Below are 24,120 nucleotides of genomic sequence, written 5' to 3'. Positions count from 1 at the left end.
TGACACTCTCCAGTGTCTCCAGTGACTTCTGTGTATACTTCATCAGCTGGAATAGGACTGCATGGCCACCCCAGCTGCAATGGATGTTGCAGGTTGAGTTTATAGCTGTGCATGTAGCCACCTGGAGCAAAACCAGGTCCTCCTAGTAAGAAAGAAGAGAAGGATGGCAGTGGGCAGCCTTTGCCATTGTCCCCATGACTCAGCCTGGTGAGGGAGACATGGATCAAGTGATTAGAAATTGATTGCCGGGCACAGCGGCTTACACCTGTAATCCCAGCACTTTGGAGGGCCGAGGCAGGTGGATCACCTGAGGTCAGGAGTTTGAGACCAGCCTGGCCAACAAGGTGAAACCCTGTCTCTACTAAAAATACAAAATTAGCCGGGTGTGGTTGTGGGCGCCTGTAATCCCAGCTACTCAGGAGGCTGAGGCAGGAGGATCGCTTGAACCCAGGAGGCTGAGGTTGCAGTGAGCCAAGATCGCACCATTGCACTCCAGCCTGGGCAACAAGAGTGAAACTCTGTCAAAAAAAATAATATTAATAATAATGAAAGAAAGAAAGAAACATGTAAAATGATGAGATAAGAACAGTATGTGGGTCTGCCTGAGTGTCTAATCAGGAGGCTTCACCTGGCCTGGGCCTCCACGAGGGCTTTCTTGAGGAAATGACGTTTGAGCCAAGGCCGGAGCCTGACTGGTGGTTGCTGGGCACAGACATGAGGGATCCTGCTGCAGGATGAGACCACAGGGGCTCATCATCCCTTGGGGGATTTTCATCCTATCCTAAGAGAAGCAAAAGCCTTGGAGAGTCTTAGGAGGCCAGGAGTGTTACCGTCTGCATTATGAAAAGATCACCTCTGCCACAGTGTGGGAGGTGAACTGGAAAAGGACATGAGTAGTTCAGAGAGACTCGCTGTGAGCCTGGTGGTCTAGGCAAGAGATATGATCATTGGGACTGGATACGATGTCATTGTTTGGATTCCCCAGAAGCAGGTGATTCCAGGCCAGATCTGTAGGACTGGGAACCGAGACAGGGAAGAGAAGAAAGCTGGCAAATGTTGCATCATCACTGTGGGCACTTGTGGAACACACGCCTCCAAGTCGCACAGGAGCTGGAGGATGCATCCACCAGTGCCCTGTCAGTCAGAGATGGGGCTGCTTCAGAGCGAGCAGTTTTCATTCCCTTGCACTTCCAGCCTGCTGTGCTTAGGGACAATCAGTAGCTAGAGAAAGCCCCCAGACAAAGGGATACTGGGCCAGTGGGTGAAAGTGAGATTGGTGTGCCCAGAAAAGGTTAAGGCTAAGGAGTTACAAGCAGGTTCCACTGCAAGGGCTGGAGAGGTACACCCCCGTGGCAGAGCTGTGTGGGTGGGGACACTGACCACACATGGTGATGAGCTGGACTGGGAATGAGGTGAGAGATGGAGAATCCAGGATGGCCCCCAGGTGTTTGACTTGAGCAATTGGAGGAAGGAATAAAGGAAGATCAGCATTTTGGAGGAGAGGAGATAAAAAATCACACATGTAGTTTTAGACGTGTAGAGGTGAGACTTCAGAGTGGGGATGAAGGCTGGGGATAAACCTCCGCATAGGCGGCAGGTGAGGCTGAGGTTGCACCAGGAGAGTGCAGGAGCGGGAAGGGAAGAGAACCCAGGAGCCAGCCTGGAGCACTCCCGGCCCTCATTTGTCAGGAGCAGCTGGAAGCAGAGGAACATGAGGGTTTGTGAGCAGCGGAGGCAGCAGCATGGATGCTGCAAATGTGCTTTAGCCCATGCACTCGGCCACTGCGCAAGGGACAGGGACAGAACAGACATCTCTCCCACAGTTTGAGCCTTTGCTTTCCCTCTACCTGACTGCACTTTCCCTCTGGCTCCGACTGCACTTGGGGAGCTAGACCATGGTCTTATGGCATTCATGGGGGCACCAAAGAGAGCCTTCTGATTTCCTGCTACCCCCGGAAACTGCGTCTGGGACAGCAGGAAGCAAGGCACCAACAAGGCCAGCCAGAGGTGCAGCCAAATTGTGGGTGTCCCCCACCTCCTGTCCCCAAGGACAATGCCTGAAATTCCAATGACAGCAGCCCTGTGAGATAGGGCCTAGAATGCGGAGTCTCTGGTGGGGCTGATGGTGAACTTTCGTTTACACGGAGAAGTAAGGGATGATTATTTTAACATAACATGTGTTTAAAATGTCCCACTGTTCTCCAGTGGTTCCAGGATGAGGCCCAGCTCCTGACTTGGCCCCTGTCCACATCTCCACCCCAAACACTGCCAATCAGCTCAACTGTCAACCAAATTGCTTGCAATTTCCTGCCTGTCCATTTCTTTCCTGCCTCCAACCTTTGCACATGCAGACTGCTCTGCTACAACACCATTCTCCATCTTCTTCCCTCTGAAGCTACCCACCTTTTCAGACTCCTCTAGGAATGATGTCTGAATGCCCATAGCTCCCCTGGTCAAGCGAGTTACCCCGACTCCTGCAGGATACTGTTTCTCTCTCGTCTCGCACCTCTGCACTGCACTGTAAAGGTGTGTTTCCTGGACTGTCCCTGCCCCAGCCTGAGGCAGCTACAGTGTCGCCTTCTTTCTTCCTCAGTGCTTGACACAGGGCTTGCCAGACCGAGTATTCAGTGTGTGTTTGTTGACTGACTTACTGAGTGAATGAGGGCAGATACATGACTGAGAGCAGGGAGAAAGGATAAAACAAAAGACAGCTGGCCCCAAGGAGAGAGTGGGAGATGAGGTGGAGCCTTGGAGGCAGGTGAGGCCCCCGCAGAGGACACAAATGCCACCAGCTGCCCAACTTGTCACAAATTAGCTGAGGCGAGCAACGTGGTCCTGGTCACCGGTGGAGGGATGCTTTCCAGGGTCTAACCTTGGGGGAGAGAGGTGAGTCCCTGTCTTCCCTGGCCTTCCCCTATGGAGTGGTGAGCCGGCTCTGCCTGCCCCACTCAGGCTCTGACTAGTGACCACGCCAGATGGGGTTCCTGCTCCCCTCTGGGCACCCAGCATTCCTGTTGGGCTCTCACGGTTCGAGGAAAAGACTCTCCCCGTGGCGGCAGAGGGTCTGCTGTGAGGCCACTCACTGCTGGATCTGACGAAATGAGCAGGGCTGAATGCCAGGCAGAAAGCAAATAGAGTCAGCCGGAGTCGGTGCCACTCTTCCTTTATGGGGCTCTTGGGCTAGAGGATTCTCCCCACTCCTCAATGTGCCCATTTTAAAGTGGGGAAAATAATCTGATCAACTTCATGACGCTGTTGTGGAGAATAAGTGAATGACTACCTGAAGAAGGCAGAAGCTCCTCTCATGGCCTCTCTGTCCCAGCCCTTCGGTGCAGCCAAGCTGACCTCTGCCATGAATGGCTGGTGTTCACTTAGGCCCTCAGCCCTGCCTGTGGGTGGCGCCTCTTCTGCGAACCTGTTGCCCAGTCACCTTACCAATGCCAAGTGCACATTCACATTACTCCGGGAAGTTGCACCCACGTCCATGTCTCAATTCCAGGTTGACCGATCTGAGCAGAATCGGTCATCTTTCTTCCCTAAGGCTCCCCATGCAGTGAACCAGCGCTTTCCGCCAGGTCCTGACCGTGCATCCAGGGCTGAGAAAGCTCACTGGGGATTCCTGCCTGACTTCTGCCTCACACTCACTGGGGGGACCTGGGCAAGCCCTGACCATACCCCTCTCTTCCGGACCTTACTCTGCTTAAGAAAAGGGCTCCCCTGGCTTTGCAAGAGCTGTGGTGTCTGGCCAGGCCCTGGCGGCTGAACCAAGGAGGGCCAGCGTGCAGGTGGGTGAAAGGGTGGCTCAGCTGGCCCCCCACCCATCACAAACAGCTGTCACTGGGATCTGTTTTGCATAGTGACCTTCTGCAGTGTGCATTTAGGAAAGGGGATCTGTTACTTTGAAAACATGGTTTTAAAGCTCCAAAGAGGCCCAAGGACTCTGCCTGCTGGAAAAGTCTTCAGATCTGCCCCACTGAGGGGGTCAGAAGCCAGGGCCAAGGGCTCCATCTGGGAGTGTGGAGCGGGTGTGATGTCTGAGGAAAAATCCCCTAAAAGACTAAGAGGAGAAATGGCCAAGGCCTAGATCTGGTGTCCAGGGGGCCTCTCCCAGCACCGAGACTCTATCCTGACACCTGTGTGGGGGGAGGGGCTGCTGGGGCTCTCCGTTGAGGGTGCAGGGTTAATGGTTAAGCTCCCTGGGGTAGAGGTTAATGTTTGAACGCCAGACCAGTCACAGGAAACACCACTCAAGGAGCTGTCACCGAGCCCGCCACACTTATCACAAATAAAAAATTAACTCTTCAGCCATTCCGGGTTAGGTGGCCAAGGTCTTACTGGCATTTTCTGGGAACGTTTCAGGGTCACCCTAATAGCTGCACGGCCTGCCCCACAGGGCTATTTATTACTTTGTTTACAGAGGCCAATACCCCCTCAGAGCTGGCAGGTGGAAGGGCCATGGCTCTCCCCAGGGGAAGAATGTTCCAGAAGGACAGTGTGGTGACAGGAAAGGTGTGGGCTTGACAGTCAGACAGACCTGGGCATGTGTCCTGCTGTGTCACACAGGTGCTCTGTGACCTTGAGCAAGACACTGGTCCTCTCTGAGCCTTAGTGACCTTGCCTTCAAGTGGGGTCATGACATCCCATTTTCCTTCTTGTCTCTACCTGCTGGTTGCCCACTCCACAGAGCATGGGTCCAGGAAAACAGGCTTTTTATTTTGTACCTTTTTTATTGAGGTGAAATTCACATAGCGTTAAATTAACTGTTTTGAAGTGAATAATTCAATGGCAATTAGCACTTTCATAGTGCTCTATGCAGCCACCAGCTCTGTCTCATTCCAAAATATCTTCATTACCCCAAAATAAAATCCCTGTACCCATTAAGTCATCACTCCCCTCCTTCCCTGTCTGCAGCCGCTGGCTATTACTAATCTACTTTCTGTCTCTGTGGATTTGCCAGTGCTGGACATTTCATATCAACGGAAGCATTTGCTATGTGACCTTTTGTGTCTGTCTGCTTTTGCCGAGAATAATGTTCTTGAGGTTCATCCACGGTGTAGTATGAATCAGTTCTTCACGCATGCTGGCTGTTAGTGCAGTTTTCTCTAACATTCCTAGCTCCTTTCTGGAGTTGCCTGGCCCCCGATGCCCTCTGGCAGCCACACCGTGGACCATCCTCCACGGCTGCCCACAGCTCACCTCTGCCCATTCTTCCCTTGGCACCACTGATCTTGGCTCATTTTTCCAAAATATGGCAGCTTATGTTTGTATAACATTCTAGGCAATTTAAATTTTTAGTTCTTAAAACAACTGTGCAATAAGCACTATTATTACTCCCATTTCATAGATGAGAAAACAGGCTCCAAGGGGCCCAGGATCGCACAGAGCCGAAACAGGACTCAGCTTTGCCGTCCAGTCTAATCAAACACAGCACAACTGAGCTGTGAATGACTGATAACCTTACCCTCCCGAGAGAAAGGTTTTCCATTAGAGAAAACAAACAAAGACAGAGATTGCTGCTGGCAATTAATCCTTAATTCGCTTGAAAGGTGGTATGAAATGAAGAGCTTTAGGTCAGGTGAGGAAGAGTTCTCGGGTGGATGAGGAGGGTTCTGTGGAGGTGGCACACACTTTGTGCAGTCTCTGGAAGGCGAAGGACTTAGCTCCCCGTGCTCAGAAGCTAGCCTGGGGCTGGCCTCCTGGACATAGATGGGCCAGCCTGCTCCAGAGAAGTGGCTGCTCGGCCTCAGGGCTGGAAGGGTTCTTCATCTCATGTAGTGCAGACTTCATTCAGTGTCTGATGCTCTTCCGTCTCCTAATTCCATGACTCTCTCTGCTTGAATACTTTCAGTGATGGGGACCTCATCACTCCCAAGATAGTTCATCCCATCAAACAGCTTATGATTCCTGGTTCCAAGACTCTTTAGCTGTTTCTCCTGCGATGTGTTTTTAAATACCCTTGTTGCCCTGGGATTTCAGCTCCTCTAGCCCCATCCTGACCACAGCTCCTGTGCGTCCAGCCATCACAAAGGAGAGCGACACCTTCTTGACTTAAGACTGTAGGTCAAGTCATTAGCAAAGTTGAAGAAACCTCACCAGGCTGCCCCTTGGATGGCCTGGGGCTGGGGCCATGGCTGAGCCAAGAGAGGCAAAGAGATACACGATGCAATTGGGAAACAGGCCGCTGTGCAGGAGCTCGTCCTAAGCCACTGTGGGTTCTGGGGAGGAGAAAGGGATGAGTGGGGGTGAGCAGTGGAAGTGCCTGAGAGATGGATGTGGCGGTCCGCGGGCAGAGGAAAGAGCAAACACCGGCAGAAGCAGAAGGTAGGAGAGGACAGACACAAGGCCAAGACAAAGAGGAGCTGTGGCTTCCCTGGTGACCCCATCAGCCGATGAAGTGAGCACCAGGGACATGGAGGGGTGTGAGTGGCCCAGTTCAGCATGGCCCCGGGGGCCGGGCTGTTCCTGGCCCCCTGCCACTGCAGCCTGACACATTGCTCCAGAAATAGTCCCAGGTTTTTATCAGGCCATCTGAGCTTATTTATAAATAGAGGACTGGAGGATAGAGGCTCCATGCCAGGTGAATGCAGGGCAAACTCCCAGGCACTGTCCTGCCCTCTGAGATGGCCCTTTCCCCTCTCTCAGTCCTCCCCCAACCCACCCAGACCTGCCTCTGGGGCCACCTCTCTATCCCTGTGGGCAGGACAGAGGAAGCTGACATTGCTGGGTCTGCTTCAGACCTGGCCCAGGGCCAGGGGCTCCACAAATATAAAGACCAGGAATCTTTATCTATAAACCCCTTTGGGCAAAAATAGAACTTTCTCCGTTTTCTGACTTTAATTCTGATTGCATTCTCCTGGGATGGCAGACATTTCTGGATCTTCCCCTGCAATTTTCCCAGGTGGCTAGAGATTCACGTAGCACCACCACGTTCAGGGGGATCTCGCCTGCAGCTGATGATGGTGTTAGTCACAGGTGGTGACTGGCAGAGCCCTGTCTATCCTGGGCCACTGGCCCCTCCTGTGCTTTGCCGGGAGGCATGGGCTCGGCAAGGCTGTGTGTGGTCTGCCCATCTAGACCTGCCCCCACAGCTGTTTCTCCTCTGGGCCATCCCACCTCCTCAGGGCTGGCTGGGCAGCAGGGTATTTGCACCTCTTCTGGAACCCTCCATGTCCCAGCTCATCACTTCCCCTCCATCTCTCCCCAGTCTCTGGGAATTCTTGCTCTTTTTCTGTTTTCTCCCAAGTGCTTTGATTATCCCAGCATACCTCTTCATCCCCCAGAGGCCTTTGGAAACCTAAGCCAGGAAGTTTTCCTGCCTTTCTCTGTGACTTCAATCTGAGGAGGAAGGAGAGAGAAAAGGCAAAAAACAAACAAACAAACAAAAAAAACAGGAGAAGAAAAAAGAAGAGATTGATGGATCAGAAAGTATTCCACCGCACCCACATATCATTTAATTCTCTCAAAAATCCTGGGAAATATTACTGTGCCCATTTTATAGATGAGGAAACTGAGGCTCACAGAGGTTAAGTGTCATACCCAAAGTAGGCTTGGGTCCAAAGCCCATTCTATCTCCACCATACCACCTCCCTCAACCTGGTATCCCATGCTGTCCTCCTGGGCCACGGGCACTGGGGCAGGCAACCCCTCCTCCCCAGGTGGTGGCATTGTCTTCTCTTGTTTCCCCACTTAAACTTCCCAGCCTTCCATCCCATCCCCTCCAGCCAGACAATTGGTGGCGGAGGTGGCCATCAGAGACGACAGAGGCGTGGGAAGCCCTGCTCTTCACATGCTTTGGATCTGCCTGCCCACACAGCTAATGTATATTCCTTCTAGCCCTGGCTCTCCTGGGGCGGTGACCCCTCCCTCGTGGCTCAGTAAGTGTGGCCCTATTGACAAAGCTCCCCCATCCCCTATCTCAATGAATGCCGCTTACCCCCAAGTCAGGCAGTGAGCTGTGCTGCTCTGGAACTAAAACTGCCCAGGATGACCCTAGTCCTGGGCTGTGTCCCTTCCCTGCCAGGGCTCCCTGGGAAGGCCAGAGCCAGGACAGGTATCCGAAGCTAAGCTGGGAGCGCTCTCCCCTGCCTCCCATTCCTGCTTGGCTTGGGGGACTGGGGAGTCCCGGAGTGGAGTCTGAGATGCTGCATTCAAAGCCTGGGGACCGTGCAAGGCAGCCTCCACAAGCACTGAGGAGGCCACAGGGACTGTCCAGCTCCCCCAAGCCACATTCCCTCCAGCCTGGCTAGAGCCACGCACCTCCTGTGCTATGATTTCCTTCATATGTTTTCCTTTCAATCAATGGACTTTTAAAAAACTTAGCCTCATCCTAAACAATAGTAGCTATAAAATCACAGATGTGATATGCTAGTTTTATAATGTTTCTAATACACATTTTCTTTAAAAAAGTGCAACTATGAAAAAATGTTCAACCATGTACCAGCCAAAAGCACAGGCCACCAGTGAGTGGTGAGCTCATCGCACGCTGGGAAACCCTGGGTCTGTTCTGTGCCTTCTGTGCCCAGACGCTGGAGCCAGGGCTGGGAGAGAACAAGGCAGTGTCACTCGTGTTCAGGAAACGATCAACACTGTGGGGGGCTAGCAGCCAGGTCTGCTGCCACCAAGGCCAGCCTGGAGGAGGCAGCCTGTCCCAGGCTGGGGAGATGGGAAGGCTGAGTGGGATCCCAGCTCCATTATCACCAGCTCTGTCACCCACACTTCTCACTTCCCCCTCTTGGAACCTCAGCTTCCTCATCTCCGCCGTGGGGCAGTGACCCTACTCACCCTTGAGCTGCTGTCAACCTCAGCTCCAGGATGTCTGATGTGCATCCAGCACAGGCCTGGCATGGCCTGTCCCCAGGCATCCCTGGGGGCCCTGCCTGACGTGACCCAAGTTAGGAAGCCTCTCAGACGTGCTGGCACCGTCCACATCTGTCTGGCCAACCAGCCAGGCATTGTCCAGCCTCATGGCCTGGAGCCTGCGGCTGGTACCCTGGCTGACCTGGCCAGTCCAGCCAGCACTGAATCTGTTTTTCCACAAGTGAGGCAAAAGGCTCCTGCCTTTTTCCATGCTCTGGAAATGCCCCAGCTGCTTCCAATGCAAGAGAGGCTGACCCGAGCTGGCAGGGGAGCTGCAACTTGAAACGAGGCATCCTGCTGCAACCCTGAGACGGCCGCACAGGGAAAGAGGGCTCTGGGTCACCCTTGGCCTCCTGAGACTCCAGGTGCCAGGCTAGGTCAGCACGGAGACACAGAGTGGGCTGTCCGTAAAGGGTCCTCAGGACCAAGTCCCCATCCCACAGGCATCTGGGTAGGCCCAGGGTTACCCGGCAGGCCTGCTGAGTTCCCGAGACCCTGCTCAGGCCCAGCCAGCAGCGTCCACAGCTGGAATGTAGACGGGCAGCCTCGGGATAGTGGCGGAGCCGTCCCTGGGGAGTGCACAGCAGAGAGAAGCTCCGGCTCCTCCTCTTGCAGGTGAAGCTTCTGGAACATCCAAGGAGTTCCTCATCTCCCATATGCCTCCAAGGACACAGACCCCTGCCCCTTGGCCTCATAGATGCTTCCACTGTCCTGTGAAAGCTCCGCCCACACACTGCCTTCTGTGTCCCTCTACAATTCTACGACACCCTTGCTCATGGTTGCAGCCTGCCCTTGTGGCTCCTGGGACTGCCCCGCCTCCAAAGCCCCCACAGGCGTCCTGATTTCAGGACTGGGTTCCTCTCTGGGCCCTCCCACTTCCCCTCTCCTGCTAGGGGCTGGGCCTCTCTTCAGGGAGAAACAGGCCACACCTGCCCCGCTCTAGGCCAGCATCCCCCCTAACCCAGGCCCTGGCCCGGCCCACCCTACCGTTCCCTACCCCTTCTGTCCCTCTCCAGTTCCCAGAGCCTGGCTTGAACAAGGAGGGCACTTGGCAGCTGGGGCCGGTGTCACCTGGAGACTGGTCAGGTGGGTGGAGGGCTGGGTGGAGACAGCTTTCATCCCCTCCATGTCCTGGCTGTGTGGCCTGGGAAGCCACTTCTGGCTCTGCTTGATTGCTGCGTTTATAAAGTGGGGGTAGAGCCAGGCACATCGGGAACTGGGGGCACCGCCATGGGATTACAGGAGCTCAAGTGTGGGACGCACAGGGCTCCTCCCCATCAGCACAGCACCAGAGCTGGCAGGCCCTGGATGCAGAATGTAGAAGTCAACTGGGTGTCAAGGTGAAAGCCCGTTTATGAGGGATGCCTGGCGGGACTGGTGTGGGAGGCAGTGGTTCCAGCTGGCGTCCCTTCATTTGTTCATCTGCTGTGTTTGCTGAGCACTTGTGCTATGCCTGGCCCATCGTAGGCACAGGGGCGTGCTCTCCTGGGCTCTCTGCCTGGTGGTGGGGGAGGCATCTGTACCCAGGTACCAAGGTGAAGACACAGCTGGTAGTGACCCCCACTGGTGGGTCTGTGACTGCCTGTCTCACTCTCTGTGAATTGCTCCTGGGAGCCAGGGGTAGGGCTAAGCCTAGAAATGAGGAACCCTCAGCTGTGAGGAGCAGGGAGACTCAGAGTGGAAATTCTCAAAGCAAGCCCTGGAACCACTTCAGCGGCATTTTTGGGGAATTCTTAAAATGCAGATTCCTGGGTCTGGTCTCACAAGGAGGATCTGGGGCCTAGAGATCTGCATATCTCTGACAGGCACCCAGCTCATTCTGATGTAGGCTGGAGGGTCACACTTCTGCAATGGGACAGGTCACCAGGGAGATTTCACTTAGAGGGGATGAAGGGGTCAAGGACACTATGGATGCTTTGGGTCTGGTCAGATTGATGCCTAAAAACAGGTTCTTGCTCCTTAAAAAAGCTGAGCATTTGCCATCTGGGTACTCCCGCAATGTCTGCACACCGCATCCATCGCCCAGTCCCCAGAGCTAAGAATTGCCATTCAGGGGACCCAGCCTAGTCCAACCTCCTGAATCCAGATGAAAAAGGAACAGGCCTGGGGAGGCCAGCGGGAAAGGGGTTGCCAGTCCCAGTGCCTGCTCTGGGCAGGCTTTTCAGTTGGGCTTTGAGCTCTTCCTCTGGATAGCCTCAGGAGGGAGGTGCCGGTCCTCCCACAAGAGATAAGCAAGTGAGCAGGGCAGCTGGCAAGGTGGGGGAGGCCTGGAGGCCGGGTCGGCCGACTTGAGTCCTGGCTCTTTCTTTTTGGGCTCTGCCCTGCACCATGTTCCCCAAACGGGAGGAGCGCTGACTGCGGCTCGCCTCATGGGTGTCCCTCAGCTCATTTCTAGCCCCTTCCAAGCCTGACCCCAGCGATGACCTCTCAGAGGGCACGGGTTCCAGAAGTCTGTTGCAGGAAGCAGTTTCCCTGTGTGGCTGCCCTTGGATCAACTTTGGGAGAATTGGTGAGTTGTTATGTGAAATGATGTCTTAAAAGACAGTACAGTCACAGCTCACACACAAATATAAAATGAATACCTGCCGAACAGCTTGTTTAATTTGTGAGGGACTCAGTAAGATCTTATCACTGGTTCATAGCATTCAAAGTAACTGATATGGTTTGGCTATGTCCCCACTCAAATCTCATCTTGAATTGTAGCTCTCAGAATTCCCATGTGTCATGGGAGGGACCTGGTGGAAGGTAATAGAATTGTGGGGGCAGGTTTCTCCCATGCTGTTCTCGTGATAGTGAATAAGTCTCATGAGATCTGGTGGTTTCATAAACGGGAGTTTCCCTGCATGTGTCCTCCTGCCCACCGCCATGTAAGAAGTCCCTTTGCTCTTTCTTCGTCTTCCACCATGATTGTGAGACCTCTCAGCTATGTGAAACTGTGAGTCCGTTAAACCTCTTTCCTTCATAATTACCCAGTCTCAGGTATGTCTTTATCAGCAGCATGAAAACAGACTAATACAGTACCATACCTATAAGGCAGAATGATAACATGAATTTACAAATAGATGCAAAGCTGACTGAATACACAGGGAGGGAAGTGAAATTAATTGTATTTCAACTGGACAATAATTATTGTGCCTATGGACGAGAATCATTTGCATTGCTACCAATCATCTAGAACTTACAGAGTTGCAGTGTAGCTCGAAGACAATAAAAGACCTGACACCCCATTGAATCAGATAATCCAGAAGGCTGTGCTTAGACAATGCCTAGTTTTGCATTGAAAACACCTAGTAATTTTTTTTATTCATCTTAAAATCTTTCAGTTTTCAGAAGTGGGCCACGCATCTGGCTCTGAGCTTCCTAGCAGCCAAATCAAAGAGGAAACCAGCTTCAAATGTAGTGTCTATGTATACTAGTCGTTCACAATAAGTTCAGCTTCTCACTGCATTGAGACCTGGTTCTCCTTCCAGAGGGGCCTCATCAAGGGAACTCAAGTGATGTAGAAAGCAACATCCTCAATAATATTCTTGCAGCAAATACAGTGGTGACACTTGTGGAGCTGTGTCCATAGGCCAGGGCAGTGGCTCTGAGTGTGGTCCCAGGACAAACAGCATCAGCATCACTTGGGAACTTGTTAGAAATGCAGATACTCAGGCCCCACCCCAGACTTACTGAGCAATCTGTGTTTTAATAATCCCTCTGGGTGACTCTGATGCAAGCTGAAGTTTGAGAATCATGGGACAAGAGTTCTCAACCCTGCAGTCAAACGTTAGAATTACCTGTAAGGCTTTCAAAGGACATGATGCCTGGGCCCACCCAAACCAATTCATGCAGGATCCCTGTGTGCCACGCCGGCTAGGTCTATTTCTAAAGCTCCCCAGGTAGTCGTACCATGAAGCTAGAAGGGAGACCCATTGCTGCTTAGTTGTTTAATGCAAACTGATTGGCCAACAGATGTGCCATCTGCTCCAGAGAAATCCAGACCTTTACTTGCAAAGCTTATAGGAGAGGGCGCCTTCCTTCTTTCCTTCTTCCCTTCCTCCCTCCCTTTCTTACTTCCTTCTATCTTCAACACTGAGCACTACCGTGTACATGGCAGAGTCCAAGGGTGCATTAGACAGGATAGGTTCCTGATCCTGAGGAGTCAGCACCTAATGAGAGCTTTGAAAGTAGTCTAGTGGGAATTCCAGGCAGGCAAGGGTGTCGGTGATGTGGACAGGATGGTAGGGCAGCCCTCGGTCCATCCCCCATCCTTGTCTGATGCTGCTTTTCTTGGCAGGTTGTGAGGGGATGTGGGACAACATAAGCTGCTGGCCCTCTTCTGTGCCGGGCCGGATGGTGGAGGTGGAATGCCCGAGATTCCTCCGGATGCTCACCAGCAGAAATGGTAACCACTCGGCCCATGGGGCCTGGCGGACAGGCTGAGGGGTGTCCCTCTGGGTGGGGCCTCAGCTTAGAGGCAGGAGGCCAAGGAACCTTCTCTGAGGACAAGTATGGGTACAATGATGGGGGAGATCACTGCAAAGGATTAGAAGCCTTGCTTGGGAATGTGGGGTGGACTCAAATTCTGAGGGTGTCAAGCAAGGGGGCAGGAGGCAGTGCACTGGGGAAGGCGATAAGGGAGGCTGGGCCTGCTTCTGTCTTCCCCAGGCCCTTCAGCTAGGAGCTCTCTTCCTTCCTTCCATGTTTCTGCCCCCTTAGCAACCAGGGGCCTTGTTCCAGTCCCCATGTCTGGAACCCCTCCTGGTAGTGGCAGGCTCCCTAATGGCCTGGCCTTCCAAAATACTTCCTTCCACTGTCAGGCCCTGCTGAGAAATTGGCTCCCTGGGAGCCCCTGGCCTCCTGGGGCGAGGGGTTGTCTTACCAGAAGACAGCTGCGGATTTAAGAATTTTCCTAGTTGACTCACATTGATTAGAAGTCGACCATGCACTGGACATTTTTATATGTACATACGGGCTCATTTATTCATCATAAACCCCCTGCAGATCACAGGACTTTTCCCTTGATCCAGTAAAGAGTAATAATAACAGGGACTGAGAAAAGCTGTGCAGCTGCCCCTCTTTCCTGGTCCATGCAGGACAGCAAAGCTGCCAGATGAAGCCTGAACAAGAATAGGTGATTTAACACTAAAACCCACCAGCCTTTCAAAGTCAGGCAAGGCAAAGATGACCACGGTTCAGAGACTGTGGGAAGGGAGTGGAGATTCTTCTCACCATAATTCTGCTGTACATACGCACATGTGTGCACACACACACATATTTGGGGAACATGCTGCTCCCTCGAAGCCTCACTCAACACCCTACACTATGGGAACTGGGGGAAATGAGGTAGACAGGCTTGAAACCCGCTCCTCCAATTCCTGGCTTGGTAATGCTAGCTGCTGTAACAGACAATGCCCCACATCTCAAAGCCTTCATGCAAATTTGTCCACAGAAAGTCCAAAACAGGCTGGGTGCGGTGGCTCACACCTGTAATCCCAGTACTTTGGGAGGCCGAGGTGGGCGGATCTCCTGAGGTCGGGAGTTCGAGACCAGCCTGGCCAACATGGTGAAACCCCATCTCTTCTAAAAGTACAAAAATTAGCTAGGCGTGGTGGTGCACACCTGTAATCCCAGCTACTCAGGAGGCCGAGGCACGAGAATCACTTGAACCTGGGAGGCTGAGGTTGCAGTTAGCTGAGCTCGTGCCACTGCACCCCAGCCTGGGCGACAGAGTGAGACTCTGTCACAAACAAACAAACAAACAAACAAACAAACAAAAAACGTCCAGAACAGGAAACAGGTATTCCTGATTAGCAGGCAGCTCTCCTCTACACGGTGACCCCAGCACCCCACACCTCACAACCGTGGCATCACATAGTTTCCAGGCTGACTGGCGGAGAGGAAAGAACTCGGAGGACCACACAGCAGAGGTTCATAAGGGGCGGGCCTGGGAAGGATCCCACTCTGCCCACATTCCCTCGGCTAGAACTCAGTCACATGGCAACATCTAACTGCAAGGGACCTGGGGAAATGTCTTTTAGCTGGGTGCCAGTCAGCCCCGGGATCCAAGTTGCTCACTGCTGGGGAGCCTCAATTTTCTTGACTGTAAAATGGGGAAAATAAATAAGACCTGCCCTGTAAGGCTGTGCTTGGAAATAAATTTTGTCCCTTCTCCCCTACTCCTCTCCCTTCTTTTCCTTTTTCTCCTTCCCACCTTCCCTCCCCTACCCCTGCCACACACACCCCCGCAAGCTTACCAACTTTACCTGCCAGCGTGGCCCCTCCATGCTTGCCTCTGGGGTCCTGGGAGCTCAGGACACAGGAGATTAGTCCAGATGTGGCGGACCTAGAGCCCCAGGCTGGTCAGGTGCAAGGTCACGCCCAGACTCCACTTTCTGACTCCTGTGCAGTGCTCCTCCACAGCTGACCGGGTTTTTCTCCTGATGGAAAGGACTCGAAGCTCTTCTCCTTTGCAGCCGTCCCTTTTCAGCCTTCCCAGAGCCACAGCACCTCCGCCTCCCGCAGCACTGTCCCTTCTGCCCTGCAGAGGGGATAGGCGGAGCTGGTGCTCACGGCCACAAAGTGACCAGGTGCCAGTCCTGTCACATCCTTTCTCAATTAATTGCTTGAACCCCTCCCTGCCTCATTACGTAAAGGCTCAGTGTCTCCCTCTTGAGGCTCCCCTACCCTTGGATTGCTCATGGTCCGCGGCAGGAAGCTGGACCATGTCCACACAACGTGAGGATGGAAGCTGGGGTCCTGTGCCGACTCTGCTGCAGTTTCTTCTCGCCGCCACATGGTGTCGCTGTGGGCCTGCAGGGCCACACCAAAGGCCTGCCTATTGGGCTCTGGGCTCCCTCCAGGGTGGTGGGGGCCACGTTGTTCATACCCAGCCTGGGGGTGGGTGGCCCAAGAGCACAGGTCAACAGCTGTCTGGCCTCAATTTATCATCAAGAACTCCCACCCACCCCTCCTTCATCCCCATAGATCTACTTCTGGGTCTGATTAGACTCCTGCCCCTTCATCTCCCGGCAGGAAGGCAGGCTTCCCTAGGTGGTGCCCCCAACCCTAACCCCAGGGGGAGCGCCCAGTGAGGACAAGGTGCTCTGGAAAATAAATTAATTCTCCTTGAGGGCACCTACTACATGGGTCCTGACAGGAGGGGTGGGGTCCATGTGACTGGAGAAACCGCAGGCCGATTCTGCCCCCAGATGTTTCTGTTCATGCCAGGCCTAGAATGCTCCCTCTAGGGTGTATTCCTTTGATTCTGAAAAGGACGCTGGTCTTCCAGAGTTCCTTATTAAAAAACACAATTCCCCAGCGGCATCCCCTTGGCCCTCTTTCTCTTCCTACTTAGTGAGGATCTGGCCTTAAAGCGGTCATGCTTCCCAACCTGATTAGGGTCCCGGAGCCTTCTGAAAATCAGATGAAAGCTTTGGACTAGTCTTTCCCCGAACTGCATAAATATATATCTATATATCTATATATTTATATATATGCACATAATATATATATTTATTTTATATTTATAATATAATACAAATATAAATATAAATATCTATTTATATTATATATATAATATAAATATCTACATCTATATATATATATATATGCACAAACATCCTTTCAGGGGTCCCCTGAGGTGCACACTGGCCTGTGCCTGGTTAAGTTTCCCTTACCTATTAGGAATTCAGCCCTGGGGAAGTGGGGAGGCAGCTGCTTTGCAGCTCTACAGAGTGGAAGGCAGGGGGCCCTGCCTTGTTAGCAGCTCTGGGCACCTGGCCTGGGTCACATGCAGCATCTGTCTTGGGAGTCCTGCTGTGTCAGTGAGGAGAGGGCCCCAAACGGGCAGGCCTGCTGCCCTGGGCGAGCCCACAGGGAGCCCAGCCTCTAGGCACGCGCTGTCTTATAACCTTCGATTCTGGCCTTGGGGGAATTTGTGTTCCCTTAACTTGCTTTCCCATCCACCCAGCCTAAATTTGACCACCGTTGTTTCCCATCTGACAACCTAACTCTCTTGATTCAGTTCCAGAAACCTCCCCACCCCTCGCCTAAATTCCAAGATTCCAAGCCCCTCCCACTTCTGCCTATTTTAGAAAGGCCAAAAAGAGAGGGGAGTGATGCCTCGGTGCCCGCTCTGTGCCTGGCACCAGCCTAGGCATTTTCCGTGTGCTCTCATGTTCCCTGCTCACTCTTGCAGTGTGGGTGATTATTTTGTGGCACAGAGAAATGATGCACCGAAGGTCACACAGTGACCAAGAGGCTGCACTGGGTTTCAGACTCAGATCTGGCTGCTTCTAAACCTGCGCTCCAGGCCTCCTGAGCCTCCACAGGGCAGGCATGCCCAGATCTCAGAGGACACGGTCTCCTGGTCCTAGACGCTGCCCCTGAGACTTCAGGAAGAGGGCCCGGTGGGTGGGTAGAACAGTGATAGCATACGCTGTGGCTGGGCATGATAGCTCAATTCTGGGCCTTGGTGTTCTGTCCTGTAAAATGGGCAGCAGCACCTCCTTCAGTGGGGCACTGTGAGGATTAGACCCTAAACCCTGTTAGCCAGGGGCCCAGCCCCTGGAGACTGTGTAAAGAAGCATGCCACGCTCAGCTGGGGCTGTTAAGGCTCCAGTGAGAGCAAAGGGGTGGCAGGGCTCCTACCCACAGGACTCGGCCATCAGCATCCTGCCCCCTGCAACACTTACACCGGCCTGAGCTGGGGAGCCAGATCCCAGCCCTCCTTGGCAGCTCAGAGTACAGAATTCAGCGAGGCCATTCAGCCCGAGGAGGGAAACTCCTCACGGTGGCCTTCCAAGACTTCCCTCCTGGCTAGTGGCTCCCTTCCGCAGGCTGGGCTCCTGCTGTAAAAGCTCCAGTGGGGAAGTGCTCTCCTCTTCCCTATGAGAAGAGTTCAGGGCAGGCTCTTTATCCCCATTCAATTTGCCTTTCTGTCCAGCCAGCCAGCCCGCGTTTGATAAGCAGAGGCTCTGGGCCAGGCACTGGGGAGGCGGGGAAGCCACTGCCCATGTGGTGAGAGGGCCCAGCATGCGTCCTCGTGCCAGGGGTGGGGGGCAGTGAGCAGCTGAGCCGGAGGACTGTGGTGGTCTCACGATCTATTATGCAGAGAAATGCAGAGGGGTGGCCTACAGGTCGTGGCCGAAGGACCCTCCACCCTTCCGTGAGGGGCGCTGCCTGGAGGGGTTCATCTCAATGGCACTCTGGTGGTTTTCAAATGGCTGAGTGAGCAGGGCATGAAGTTCCATTTAAAACAGAACTTCCATGGAGCAGGATGAGTAAAAATGGGAGCCTGAGAAAAAGTCATGATGGGAGTGGCCAGGTACTGGGCAGCCACCACAGATTCTCCGGGGTACCCACCTGTTAAACGGTGGCAGGGCCTGGGATCAGGAGCAGCACCCGGCTGGGGTGAGAAGGGGGACTGGCACGTGGTGTGTGCTTAAGAGCTTGGGCTCTGGAGCCCGAGCCCCAGGGTTCAAATCACTTTCCCCCTATTTACTAGGGTGTGGTCTTGGGCAAGTTCTGGAACTGCTGTGTGCCTCAGTTTCCACACTATAGAGTGGTTGTAGCAGCTACATGTTACAATAGATGTTACTATGAAAATCACAGTGCCTGGGCCCATGGCTCACCTACAGGACTCTTGGCACCCACAGGTTCCTTGTTCCGAAACTGCACACAGGATGGCTGGTCAGAAACCTTCCCCAGGCCTAATCTGGCCTGTGGCGTTAATGTGAACGACTCTTCCAACGAGAAGCGGGTAAGCCTGTCAACCTCCACCCCACGAACCCGGGGACAGGAACCTATAGGGTGAGGAGGCCCTGGGAGAGGAGGCCCTGGGAGAGGACAGGGTGGCACAGGCCTGGGACAGTGGTCAGGATGTAAGGGCTACCCCCTGTCCCCATGCCTCCTACTCACAGAGGTGTCAGTGGGTCTGCCTCACTGCCCTGGTCTATCGACCCGGAGATGATGGTTAGGAGGAACCCAGGCACAGGTAGGAACTGTCGCATACCACCGCGAGACTGGGGGTGCTGTATTCATTCAACTGAAAGAGACGCTAACATAGTGGCTAAATGCTCAGAGCAAGGCTGGTGCGTCTGAATTCCGACCTTGACCTTAGTGGGGCTGGGGAAGATTTAATCACTACGTGCCTCACTTTCTTCATCTGGGAAATGGTGTTAATAATGCTGACAACATAGGCTTGTCAAGAGAACTAAATGAGTTAATATATGTGCATCCTGAGTTGGGCGCCTGGTCACAGTAAGTGCTCAGTAAATGTTTGCTTTTGGCCGGGTGTGGCGGCTTACACCTATAATCCCAGCACTTTGGGAGGATGAGGTGGGAGGATTGCCTGAGGCCAGGGCAACATAGTGAAACATTGGATCTACAAAAAATGTTTAAAAATTAGCTGAGCGTGGTGGTGCGTGCCTATAGTCCCAGCTACTCAGGAAGCTGAGGCAGGAGGATCGCCTGAGCTGGAGAGTTTGAGGATGCAGTGAGCAGTGATTGTGTCGCTGCACTCTAACCTGGGCAATGGAGGACAGGATTGAGCCCTGTCTCTTAAAAAAAAAAATGTTTACAGCATTCGAAGGAGTCTCCCGGCTCTGATAAGCAAGGAGGGAGTCCGGCTGCAGAGCTGCCCTAGCTGAGGGGATGCTCCCTTCGGCAATCGGCTGACCTTTGCTGGGGACCTCCAGAGGCTTCCTCTGAGGGTGGCCATCAGGGCCCTGTCTGGGCTCAGCTCACTCTGCATCACTGTCCTTTCCCAGGATGGCCCTTTCTCTCAAATCTCATGCACACTGTGCCATCCTGCCTCCCACCTGGGCCTTTGCCCCCGTTAGGGCCCCTTGCCTGGAGAGCACTTTCCTCCTCTCTTTTCTTGACTGATTCTTATATATCCTTTGAGACTCCCCTCGGGCCCATCCATGCCAGCCCTTTCTTCCCCTCCCCACGGGAAGGGCTCCCTTAGAGCCTGGTGTTGGCCTCCAACTATTACCTACCATGTTACATTAAAATGATCAGCGTGTGCCACCTGCCTCCATCTCTCTCACTAAAATACATGCTCCTCAAAGGCATTCATTCACTCCACAAACACTCACTGAGCACCTGCTGTGGGCCAGGGTTGGGTCTGGGCAAAATCACGGTGACAAATCAGAGAGTCTTGTTCATTTCCAGGCCCCAGTGCCCAGCACAATGCTTGGCACCTATGAGGTGCCCAATAAATATTTGTTTGTGCACTTAAACATCTACTGAGTGCCAGCTGCTTGATGCGCAATTGTATTAAATCCTCAAAATAATCCTGTACATTCATTGTTTTCCTCACTTTGCAGAAGAGGAAACTGAGGCTCAGGGATTAAGGAACATGCTTGTAAAGTAGTGGAGGTAGGATTTAAACCAAGCCTAGCTCCAAAAGCACCAGTGCTCCGTCCTCTGTCTTCTGATACCTCCCCATAAGATGTGTGCCCCGCCCAGGGAGTACACTTTCAGCAGGTCCCATTAGCTAAACTCCCTAGAAGGAATATGGGCAAGCTTTGCCTGTCCCTTGGAGGGTAGGGTGAGGTCATGGGAGAAAGCACGGGTGGAGAGTGGCAGAATTCAGGGAGAAGGGAGGAAGTTGTGTGTCAGAGCACCCCGTCTTCTGCATTTTGCGAAGACCCCTCTCTCTGTAGCGCATCAGCCTTGCTCTATGTGGAGGAAGGCAAGCTCCAAGGGAGAGGAAGCAGTTCTTTCCTTCCCAGGGCTTGTCATCCCATTGGGAACATACACGAGGTCTTCAGATCTGGTCAGAGTGGGATGATTTAATAAGGAGATTCGACAAGGAGTGAGCACTCGTGGTCTTGGAGGGATGGTGAGTGGGCTCTGCCTTCTGCAGAGGAACAGTTCTATCATCGACTTATATGAAGAGAGGGGGCTTATTTGTTTCAAATTTGTAAAATCCATAAAACTAAAAAGGAATAATATCATGATGGGTGGCCGGATGAGGTTCATAAGAAGGCTTTGTACTGCAAATAACACACATTTCTAACTGGTTTAATAAGCACATGTGGCTTGCGTAACTGGAAATGCAGAGAATGGGCTTCAGGATTCTTTGATGAGGCAGCACCACAGAATCACCAGGGTCTGTGTCATTTGCATCTCTCTCCCTGCTGTCCTGGTGGCTTCTTCCTTAGGCTGGCATTGTAAGATGACTGCCATCAGAAATTGCAGCCACAGGCCAGGCACAGTGGCTCATGCCTGTAATCCCACCACTTTGGGAGGTCGAGACGGGTGGATCACTTGAGGTCAAGGGTTTGAGACCAGCTTGGCCAACATGGCGAAACTCTGTCTCTACTAAAAATACAAAAATTAGCCGGGCATGGTGACGTGTGCCTGTAATCCCAGCTACTTGGGAGGCTGAGGCACAAGAGTCGCTTGAACTTGGGAGGTAGAGGTTGCAGTGAGCCAAGATCTCGCCACTGCGCTCCAGCCTGGGCGACAGAGCGAGACTCTGCCCCCAAAATAGGAAAAAACATCCACACAATGAGAACTGTTGGTTTACACTAATCAGTACGAATAATGGAGCCCAGGGCCTTAACCACAACGTTCATGCCAAGATTAAAACTGTAAAATCCCCAAACCAAGGAGCTGAAATTTCATAAAGGAAAATGTAACGCTTTGGACTTAACTCAGAAAAATGATTGTCCAAAAATGGTGGAAAGGAGACCTAGCTTGGCTTCAGCTTGCATTAAAAAAACAAAACAAAACAACAGCTCTGAGATTGGAAGGGTTTCCTGACCACGTGATTCACCGGTCCCTAAATGCCAGTCCACAAATTGGCACGAGTTTTGTTCTTTATTCTGAGATTTAAACCATCCTATTTCTTATTATTAAAATGTCTTTTTATCAACTGAGGGTGAAGGTATGTATTAGTTGCTTTTCTTTTTTTCTTCTTTTCTTTTTGTGACATCCTTACTTGGTATACACCACTATATTATTGACACACAATATTACTGACACCAATAGTGGACTCAGATTGGCAGTAAGACCGCACATAGATGTCACATGGGTAAATAAAATGGGATTTGCAAACTGTAGCTCTTGGACCCAATGAGGCTCCACTGCCTGCTTTTGTAAATAAAGTTTTATTGGAACACAGCCAAGCCCATTCCTACCACAGTAAGGCTACGTTTACATGACAAGGGCAGAGTTGAGTATTTGCAAAAGAGACCACAGGGCACTCAGAGCCCAAAATATTTACTCTCTGTCCCTTAACAAAAAATGTCTGTGACAGATGATCTAAAGGCTACAGAAAGCAGGTGGTACAGTCAGAACATACAGCAGTAAGAGAGGCAACTGAATTCAGGACAGACAACAGTGAGGCTTCTGGGCCCCATGTCCTCCAGGAGTGGTGCACACTTTTAGATGTTAAGAGCTGAGGACTGGCTGGGTGTGGTGGCTCATGCCTGTAGTCTCAGCACTTTGGGAGGCTGGGCTGGGAGAATCACTTGAACTCCTGAGCTCAAGACCAGTCTGGGCCACATAGGGAGACCCTATCTCTACAAAAAAAATTTTTTTAAGTAGCTGAGTGTGATGGCACTTGCCTGTAGTCTTAGCTACTCGGAGGTTAAGGCAGGAAGATTGCTTGAGCCTGGGAGGTTGAGGCTGTAGTGAGCCATGATCGTGCTACTGTACTCCAGCCTGGATGACAGAGTGAGACCCTGTCTCAAAAACCAACAAAAAAAAAGCTAAGGACCGAAGGTCACATGAAACCTTCAGGGAGCAAGGCTGTTTCTGGGTGGGTGAGGTCTTATGGTTCCTACCTTACAAGGCAAGAACGGGTCTACATGAGAAGCGGGCTGGTCACCTGGCAAGCAATGGCCACAGCCACGGGACAGTGCAGAATCTTCTGCATGACACCCCCCTTGTCACCCTGTGCCTCTTCAGGCTCTTGCAGGCTGGTCCAGGTATCCCCAGGAGTGAGGCTGACACCCTCTGCAATGCGGCTCATCTGTACATGGCGAGATTATATGTTAACATATTGGTCCTCAATTTTTTGACATTTCACAGGTCTTTGATGTCCCAAAGCCTAGGAACCATTAATTCAAGGCAACCCACTGCCCTTCAAGGGTCTTCCTCACATCCCTGAGAGGTGACTCCTGGCTCTCAGGAGAGCAGTTACATCAGTGGGGAACTCAATGTCACATGGTAGCCTTCCTATCGAAGGCCACCTCCTGCTGTCAGAAAATGATCAGTCACCCCGAGTCAAAATCTACCTCCTTTCTGGAAACTTCCCCCAACTGGAGCTCACACATGAGGTCTGGCCCTTCTTCTACATGTTGTTCAGTCTAACACTTTTCTCCTCTAAGTGTGTGTTTTTCCCCTCCAGGTGTCATGGACCCAGTTTTTTCATGTACTCTACAGATGACACAATCACCCTCCTCTGGAAATGCTTCAGTTTATTAATGTGACTCTTAAAATAACATGCCTAGCCTCTCCAAACATTCCCACGTGGCCAGCTGCCCACAGCACTCCATCAGTGTAACTGAGAATAAAGCTAATTTTTGAGCCATTTCATGCTCAGACTTCCTACCATCTCAAACCGCTGACTCATTTTGAAGGAGGATGGTGGGATGGGGAAAAATTAAAATTACCATACACTGAGTGTTTCCTACATGCCAAGGCATTGTCTAGGTACTCTATCTGACACTGTATTTGTTCTTCCAACAAGTCTGCAAGGTAGATATTATTATCCCCATTTTGCAGATGAGGAATCTGAGGCTCAAAGAAGTTAAATAATTTGCTCAAGGTCACACAGTTGGTGAGTCACAGTCCGGGTTTGGAACCCTTGTCTCCTGGCTCTGAAGCCTGTGTTCTTTCTCTACAGTACACTGTGTGACACCATGGAGCTTGGGTCTTTCTAACCTCAAGGTTACTTTCCCATGAAGAGCTGTCAGCCAGGTTTCCCCTATTCTATTCTTGTGCCTTCTTAAAAAAATAATTACCCTTTTCTTTTGGTTATAAATAGCCCTTATCCACTGTGGAAAAATTAGAAGTATAGAAAAATTATAAAAGAAAATAACAACTCTATTTGCAAGCCTATAATACAAAGTTAACCACTGTTAACATCAGCCATATCTCTTTACAATCTTGTCTCTCTGTATGTATGAGATTGAACCACATGGAATGGCTGATATTCAGTTTTTTTGTTTTCTTTATTTTTTGTGTTGATATTCAATCATTTTGGATCTACACAAAAGGTAATTTCATATAAATCTTTTTAAAATTTATTTATTTTAAAAA

At 51.9% G+C, this 24,120-nt stretch overlaps 1 protein-coding gene and 1 long non-coding RNA gene across 15 annotated transcripts in view, besides 5 other annotated features; one reads left to right on the top strand and one right to left on the bottom strand.

Moving 5' to 3' along the window:
- Positions 1-24,120, top strand: part of SCTR (secretin receptor) — an 84,641-nt gene that overhangs the window by 32,430 nt on the left and 28,091 nt on the right. For 9 of the 13 annotated variants that reach the window (XR_922984.3, XR_001738889.2, XR_007079571.1 and 6 more), the window contains exons 3-4: positions 13,136-13,243; positions 18,498-18,601. Coding sequence is in view for 8 of the 13 variants with exons in the window: in NM_002980.3 (NP_002971.2) it covers positions 13,136-13,243; positions 18,498-18,601 (212 nt within the window). In the remaining 5 variants the exon portion in view is untranslated. Of the gene's footprint in view, positions 1-11,240; positions 13,244-18,497; positions 18,602-24,120 lie in introns of those variants that run through there. The other 4 variants (XM_047445403.1, XM_047445402.1, XM_047445401.1 and 1 more) reach the window with 4 other exon arrangements.
- Positions 590-4,997: an enhancer, noted in NCBI's record as "VISTA enhancer hs1941". NCBI's record gives its function as "enhancer in: other[11/13]" and the evidence as "EXISTENCE:transgenic organism evidence [ECO:0001131][PMID:17130149]".
- Positions 2,492-3,411: an enhancer, noted in NCBI's record as "H3K4me1 hESC enhancer chr2:120246219-120247138 (GRCh37/hg19 assembly coordinates)". NCBI's record gives its function as "activates a minimal SCP1, AML or CMV promoter by ChIP-STARR-seq in primed H9 embryonic stem cells {active_cell/tissue: H9 hESC(primed)}" and the evidence as "EXISTENCE:reporter gene assay evidence [ECO:0000049][PMID:30033119]".
- On the bottom strand, positions 4,708-15,600 carry SCTR-AS1 (SCTR antisense RNA 1). 2 transcript variants are annotated; one of them, NR_147846.1, is made up of 3 exons: positions 15,105-15,600; positions 7,266-7,335; positions 4,708-6,215 (listed from the first exon to the last, which is right to left on the bottom strand). It is a non-coding gene; the product is annotated as an SCTR antisense RNA 1 (long non-coding RNA). The 2 variants fall into 2 exon arrangements; NR_147847.1 differs by lacking the exon at positions 7,266-7,335 and having other exon boundaries at positions 15,096-15,600.
- Positions 10,604-11,115: an enhancer, noted in NCBI's record as "H3K4me1 hESC enhancer chr2:120238515-120239026 (GRCh37/hg19 assembly coordinates)". NCBI's record gives its function as "activates a minimal SCP1, AML or CMV promoter by ChIP-STARR-seq in primed H9 embryonic stem cells {active_cell/tissue: H9 hESC(primed)}" and the evidence as "EXISTENCE:reporter gene assay evidence [ECO:0000049][PMID:30033119]".
- Positions 16,733-17,283: an enhancer, noted in NCBI's record as "H3K4me1 hESC enhancer chr2:120232347-120232897 (GRCh37/hg19 assembly coordinates)". NCBI's record gives its function as "activates a minimal SCP1, AML or CMV promoter by ChIP-STARR-seq in primed H9 embryonic stem cells {active_cell/tissue: H9 hESC(primed)}" and the evidence as "EXISTENCE:reporter gene assay evidence [ECO:0000049][PMID:30033119]".
- Positions 17,834-18,385: an enhancer, noted in NCBI's record as "H3K4me1 hESC enhancer chr2:120231245-120231796 (GRCh37/hg19 assembly coordinates)". NCBI's record gives its function as "activates a minimal SCP1, AML or CMV promoter by ChIP-STARR-seq in primed H9 embryonic stem cells {active_cell/tissue: H9 hESC(primed)}" and the evidence as "EXISTENCE:reporter gene assay evidence [ECO:0000049][PMID:30033119]".

Source organism: Homo sapiens, chromosome 2 (genome assembly GCF_000001405.40).
Source record: "Homo sapiens chromosome 2, GRCh38.p14 Primary Assembly".
Taxonomy (NCBI): Eukaryota; Metazoa; Chordata; class Mammalia; order Primates; family Hominidae; genus Homo; species Homo sapiens.
This window is presented reverse-complemented; position numbering and strand designations above follow the sequence as displayed.